The sequence below is a fragment of the Homo sapiens genome, chromosome 10 (assembly GCF_000001405.40).
Source record: "Homo sapiens chromosome 10, GRCh38.p14 Primary Assembly".
Classification (NCBI taxonomy): Eukaryota; Metazoa; Chordata; class Mammalia; order Primates; family Hominidae; genus Homo; species Homo sapiens.
This window is the reverse complement of record NC_000010.11, coordinates 30156670-30163854: the sequence shown is the minus strand read 5'-3', so window position 1 is coordinate 30163854 and position 7185 is coordinate 30156670. Positions and strand designations below refer to the sequence as shown.

The 7185-nt window shown below is 44.6% G+C and overlaps 2 annotated features.

Moving 5' to 3' along the window:
- Positions 426–925: an enhancer, noted in NCBI's record as "H3K4me1 hESC enhancer chr10:30451859-30452358 (GRCh37/hg19 assembly coordinates)". NCBI's record gives its function as "activates a minimal SCP1, AML or CMV promoter by ChIP-STARR-seq in primed H9 embryonic stem cells {active_cell/tissue: H9 hESC(primed)}" and the evidence as "EXISTENCE:reporter gene assay evidence [ECO:0000049][PMID:30033119]".
- Positions 3108–3157: an enhancer, noted in NCBI's record as "active region_3201". NCBI's record gives its function as "activates an Ori minimal core promoter by ATAC-STARR-seq in GM12878 lymphoblastoid cells {active_cell/tissue: GM12878}" and the evidence as "EXISTENCE:reporter gene assay evidence [ECO:0000049][PMID:35858748]".

The following is a 7185-nucleotide window of genomic DNA, read 5'->3' as shown; positions in this document are numbered from 1 at the left end:
ACAGCTCTTAAAGCGGCGCGTCTGGAGTTGTTCGTTCCTCCCGGTGGGTTCGTGGTCTCGCTGGCTTCAGGAGTGAAGCTGCAGACCTTCATGGTGAGTGTTACAGCTCATAAAGGCAGTGTGGACCCAAAGAGTGAGCAGCAGCAAGATTTATTGCAAAGAGAGAAAGAACAAAGCTTCCACAGTGTGAAAGGGGACCCGAGCGGGTTGCCACTGCTAGCTCCCGCAGCATGTTTTTATTCTCTTATCTGGCCCCACCCACATCCTGCTGATCGGTAAAGCAGAGTGGTCTGTTTTGACAGGGCGTTGATTGGTGCGTTTACAATCCCTGAGCTAGACACAAAGGTTCTCCACGTCCCCACTAGATTAGCTAGATACAGAGTATGGACACAAAGGTTCTCCAAGTCCCCACCAGAGTAGCTAGATACAGAGTGTCGATTGGTGCATTCACAAATCCTGAGCTAGACACAGGGTGCTGATTGGTGTGTTTACAAACCGTGAGCTAGATACAGAGTGCCGATTGGTGTATTTACAATCCCTTAGCTAGACATAAAGGTTCTCCACGACCCCACCAGACTCAGGAGCCCAGCTGGCTTCACCCAGTGGATCCCGCACAGGGGCTGCAGGTGGAGCTGCCTGCCAGTCCCGTGCCATGCACCTGCACTCCTCAGCCCTTGGGTGGTCGATGGGATTGGGCACCGTGGAGCAGGGGGCGGCGCTCGTAGGGGAGGCTCCTGCCGCACAGGAGCCCACGGAGGGGCGGGGAGGCTCAGGCATGGTGGGCTGCAGGTCCGGAGCCCTGCCCCGCGGGAAGGCAGCTAAGGCCTGGCGAGAAATTGAGCACAGCCGCTGCTGGCCCAGGTGCTAAGCCCCTCACTGCCCAGGGTCAGTGGGGTCGGCCAGCAGCTCCGAGTGTGGGGTCCGCAGAGCCCACACCCACCCAGAACTCGCGCTGGCCGGCAAGCACCTCACGCAGCCCCAGTTCCCGCCGGCGCCTCTCCCTCCACACCTCCTGGCAAGCTGAGGGAGCCGGCTCCGGCCTTGGCCAGCCCAGAAAGGGGCTCCCACAGTGCAGTGGCGGGCTGAAGGGCTCCTCAAGTGCCGCCAAAGTGGGAGCCCAGGCAGAGGAGGCGCCGAGAGCAAGCGAGGGCTGTGAGGACTGCCAGCACGCTGTCACCTCTCAATTTCATTTGAGGGAAGTTTTTTTTTTATTTTAGAAACCCTTAAATATCAGTTTAATGATACAAGGTAAACCTAACACTAATCTTTAAATGTCATGAGGCAAATGAAAAGAATGCTAATTCTAAGGGGAAGGGGATCAAACCCATGTATGTTTGAACTCTTATTTTCCTTATCTGAACAAAACAAGACACAAAACACAAACATAAATCTAGTTATCTCATAAAAATATTCTATAGGCTGGGCGTGGTGGCTCATGCCTGTAATCCCAGCACTTTGGGAGGCCGAGATGGGTGGATCACCTGAGGTCACGAGTTCGAGACCAGCCTGTCCAACATGGCAAAACCTTGTCTCTACTAAAAATACAAAAATTAGCCAGTTGTGATGGCGCATGCCTGTAATCCCAGTTACTTGGGAGGCTGAGGCAGGAGAATCTCTTGAACCCAGAAGGCAGAGGTTGCAGTGAGCCGAGATCATGCCATTGCACTCCAGCCTGGGCAACAGAGCCAGACTCCATCTCAAAAAAAAAATATATATATATATATATAAAGGTAATCTTTAAGCTAAGTAAAGTCTTTATCTGAAAAGTAATTTTTAATTTTTACAGCATTCAGAAGCTGTCAGCTCCTATTTAGGCTACTAGTTCAGCATTTTTTAAGGTGATCATATTTATGAGACTACTTATACCTTTCTCTGAAGTTCTGCCAGGTTATAAGGTAAGGCCCCCTCAGCCAATGGGGCTATTCTCTCAATATCTGCCAAAGTCAAGTGCCTTCAGGAAAAATATAGGAAAGAATTGTTAGACACTGACAAACTCCTCACGCCAAAATCATCTTTTCTCAAAAAAAAAAAAAAAAAAAACCCGGAACTATAGTTTGAAATCATTACTTCCCTATTTACACAGATCATTTTAGTGACAAAAAACCTTTTAACTCTGTTTTCATCAACAAAAACCAAAAGACTCCAGAGAAATAATGTAGAGTGCATGAATTTAGTAAGACTCCAGTGATAGATATTAAAATCAAATAATTATTGCCAGAAGCAAAAGTAGAGAGGTTGACTGTCCCTACCCACTAAATGTGTCCCCTAAGGATACCTATTTAAAGCACAGGTGCAAAGTATCTGGGAAGGATACATAGAAATCTGATACTGGTTGCCTCCAAGGAAAGGAACAAGGGTAGGAGGGAGACTTCTTTTTTTTTTTTTTTTTCAACGATATGTTCTTTCCAACCCTTTGAGTTTTGACCCATTTTTAGGCAGGAGAGTAGGGTCTGGAGACAGGGAGCCTTCACTTCAGCCTCTGATTGGTCATGGGCCAAGTCTTCTTTTGCGTAGGATGCAACTTCAGCCTCTGATTGGTTGCAGGCTGAGCCTTCACTTCAGCCTCCGACTGGTTGTGGGCCAAGTCTTCATTTATATAGGGTGTAACCAATAGGAAACCTCTAACGAGTACTTAAACCCCAGAAGATTTGCAGCTACGGCTCTCGAGCTGCTTGCTCAAGCCTGCTCCTGATCTGTGGAGTATACTTTGCTTCAATAAATCTATGCTTTTGTCTTCTGGAAAAACAAACAAACAAACAAACAAGAAAGGTGGGGGCTGCACTGGAGCCGAGGCAACCAGGGACTCCTGTTTTCCAGTTATGTGCGGTGAAAGATGCTTTCGCCCGTGCCCACTCTTCTGCTTCAGGAAAAAGTGGAACTGGCTTCTAAAGGCCCTTTCTGGTGAAGGCCCCTGTATGCACAATGGTTTGGGGTGACCTGAAACTTCTCCAGGAGGCTCCAGCCTAGAATGGCTTCCCTTGCTCCCTGGAGACTTTCCAACTCTTCTGGGAGGTGAGTGGCTGTCCTTCTAAGATCACTGTGCTTACCGAGATAAGATAATCCCTGGTTTATATGCTTAAGAGGAGATAACTTCAGGGTGTGTGTCTGCCCAGATCCCAAAAGCCTCTGAGAGGAAAAGCAGGCCCTTTCAAAGCAGTCACAGGGAGACTGAAGTGCAAATGTGGCCCAGCACTTGGCTGGAGGAAGGTGGAGCCCCGCGGTGTTTTATTGGCAGAGTCACAAAGAGTCCTAAGTCCTCTCTTTGGTCGATTTAAAAACCTCAGGAACAGACAAAACTCAGAGTGAAACACAGAACTGTATGTTCAAACATGTCTAGGGAAATTTTTCTCACGGGAGACAATTCATCTCATCAGCCCAGTCTTCTAGAGCTCAGATTCTTCTTTTGTATAAATATGAATGTAAAAAACCTAGAGACAGTGCATTTTAGTTATTCCCATAGTCTAGTCCATATCCATAATAATAGAGCTTTTCAGAACCTGCTTCTAGTCCAGTTGCTCCACTGAATGACTCTATGCGACAAAGATGCTCTCTGGTCTTTCTTCTTGTGACAGTGATTTGTTGTTACCAAAAAGTATCTTATTGTGAACATTTAGTTGTGTAGGCAGAAAACAGGGAGTGGTTCTTGAAGCTGTGTGACCCTTTTCTTTTTCTCTTTTTTCTTTTGAAAACTTTTACTTTAGGTTCAGGGATACATATGCAGGTTTGTTATATAGGTAAACTCATGTCATAGTAGTCTGTTTTAGAGATTATTTAATTGCCCAGGTAATAAGCCTAATATGCAGTAGTTATTTTTCCTGATCCTCTACCTCCTCCCACTCTTAACTCACAGGTAAGCAGGCTCCAGTGTCTGTCATTGCCCTCTATGTGCCCATATGTTCTCATCATTGAGCTCCCACTTACAAGTGAGAACATGTGGTATTTGGTTTTCTGTTCCTGCATTAGTTTGCTAAGGATAATGACCTCCAGCTCCATCCATGTCCCTGCAAAGGACATGATCTCATTCTTTTTTATGGCTGCATAGTATTCCATGGTGCATATGTACCACATTTTCTTTATCCAGTCGGCCATTGATGGGCATTTAGGTTGATCCCTGTCTTTGCTATTGTGAATAGTGCTGCAGTCAACATATGCATGCTTGTGTCTTTATGACAGAATGATTTATATTCCTCTGGGTATATACCCAGTATTGCTGGGTCAAAGGTAGTTCCGTTTTCAGCTCTTTGAGAAATCACCTATGTGCCCTTTTTTAAACCTGAGTTTCTCATCTGTAAGCTACTTGGTTTTGAATTTCTGGCCTCTAGAACTGTGAGGGAATAGACTTCTGTTGTTTTAAGCTACCAAGTTTGTGGTAATTAGTAACAGCAGCCCTAGGGAACTAATATATCCCTGAAGTGGTGAAGAACTGGGTTTGTTCAGAGATTTGAAGGAGACAGGAGAGCAAGGTGGAGGGTGGCCCCACATGGGGTTGGAGCATCAGAGTCTGGGTCACACCAGGTCTTAGAGCCCCCAGGAAGAAGTCTGGATTGTTCTAAGGACAACAGGAAGCCACTGAGAAGCTTAAAGCGACCCACTTTTTGAAAGGAGACCAGGGCTGTGTGGAGAGTGAATGAAAGCAGGGAGGCCATGCAGAGGAGTGAGTGAGAGACAACAGCAGCCTGGACGAGGAGGGGAAGTGGAGGCAGAGGGCAGCAGAGCCAATCAGGGAATATTTGGTAGATAAAGTTGACAGGACTGATGACAAATTGGATATGGGGGAAAAAAACAAGAAGAAAGGAAAAAGAAACACCCAAGGATGATGTGTACGTGTATGGTCTGGGCCACAGGAGTGACAAAGAGAGAGAACAGGTTTGGAATACAGTCTGAGAATCCAGGCTTCCTTCTTGAACATGTTAAGTTGTTCAGTTGAGATGGCTGTAGATTATCCAAAGAGAAATGTTAGGTGAGTATCAGAATGTACAAAACTGTAACTTGGGAAAGACATCTAGGCTAGAGATGTAATGAAGACATCATTATAGAGATTATGTAAGGCTTGGATTCCCCAAGGGAGAGACAGAGAAGATAGCTCAGAACCAAACCTTGAGAAATACCCACACTTAGAGATTAGAAAGAGGAAGATGACTCAATAAAGATAATAAAAGGGACCAAGGTGGCCAGAGAGATGAAGGGAAAGTGAATTAGTCTGTTTTCACAATGCTACAAAGACATACCTGAGACTGGGTAATTTTTAAAGAAAAGAGGTTAAATTGACTCACAATTCCTCATTGCTGGGGAGGCCTCAGGAAACTTACAATTGTGGTGGAAGGGGAAAAGGCACGTCTTACATGGCAGGAGGCAAAAGAGAGTGAGTGAAGTAAGCAAAGGGGAGGAGCCCCTTATAAAACCATCAGATCTGGAGAGAACTCCCTCACTATCACGGGAACAGCAAGGGGGAATCCACCCCCATGACCCAATCACCTTCCACCATGTCCCTCCCTCAATACCTGGGGATTACAATTCAAGATGAGATTTGGGTGGGGGCACAAAGACAAACCATATCAGAAAGCTAGAACAATATGCTGTCCCAGGGGCCAAGAAAGGGTTTTAAAAAACAAATGATGTGCTCATTGCTGACAAATGCTATTGAGAAATTAAAAAAAAAAATAGCATGAGGCTGCAGAACGTTTTTTTAAAAAATATTTTTGGAGAGAGAGTCTCACTGTATTGTGTAGGCTGGTCTTGAACTCCTGGACTCAAGTGATGCTCCTGCCTCACCTGCCTCAGCTTCCCAAGTATTGGCATTACGGGTGTGAGCCACTGCACCTGGCTTTAAAAGTGTCTTTTTGATTCAGCAATGTAGAAATCACTGGGACCTTGCCCAACACAATATCAGGAGCGATGATAAGGTTGGACTTCAGCTTGGGGTAAGTAGAAGAGTGGATGACTCTAAATCAACTCCATATGGAATGAAAGTGAAGACATTAGAACAAATCTATTAAAATATTGTAAGAAAATATAGAATAATATTTTTTACAATCTTGGGGTAGGAAGGACTAGCAAAATAAAATAAAGCACCAAATCAAAACACATAAACATTAATAAATGTGACTACATATAAACAATTAAAAGCTGTATGTCAGAAAAATCATAAACAAGTTTTAGAAAAAGTATGAGTTACAGATTTCGAATATGACATATTTGCAATCTATACAATAGGAAAAGGATTACTATTCAGGATTTACAAAATGATGTCTATGAATCAACTTAAAAAAGGATAAATAACCCTATAGAAAAATGGGCAAAAGATATAAAAAGGCATTTCACAGAAGAGGAAAACCAAATGGCCAAGAAATATAAGAAAGAAGCTCAACTTCATTAGTAATTAGAGATATGTTCATATCAAGCGCTGGTAAGAGGTGGAGGACTGGACATTCCCAAACATGGTTGGTCATGCTTGGTCATGGTACATTCCTGTACCAGTAGTGTAAATTGGTACAGCCATGAAGGGCAACTGGAAATGTTCATTAACAATATCCACTTTGTATACTCTGCCCTTGAGGAATCCATGCATGTAGGCTGGATGTGGTGGCTCATGCCTGTAATCCCAGCAATTTGGGTGGTGAAGGGAGAGGATAGCTTGAGGCCAGGAGTTTGAGACCAGCCTGGGTGACATAGCAAGATCTCACTGCTACAAAAAATTTAAAAATTAGCCAGGCATGGTGACATGGGCCTGTGGTTCCAGTTACATAGGAGGCTGAGAAGGTAAGATCACTAGAGCCCAGGAGATTGAGACTGTAGTGAGCTATGATCACAGCACTGTACTCCAGCCTAGGAGAGACAGCAAGACCCTATCTCTTAAAAAAAAAAAAAAAAAAAAAAAAAAGAAATGCATGCATGTATCAGGTGGTTCATTGCTGCATTGGTAGCAGAGAAATATTGCAATCAAGGGATCAGTGGCCTTACATTCCTTTCTGGAGCTCCGGGTCCTCTTCCAAGCTCACATAACATTGAGGGTTTTTTGGTTTTGATTTTTTTTTTTTTTTTTTGAGATGAAGTCTCACTCTGTCACCAAGGTTGGAGTGCAGTGGCATAATTCCGGTTCACTTCAACATCTGCCTCCCGGGTTCAAGCTATTCTCCTGCATCAGCCTCCCAAGTAGCTGGGATTATAGATGCCTGCCACCACGCC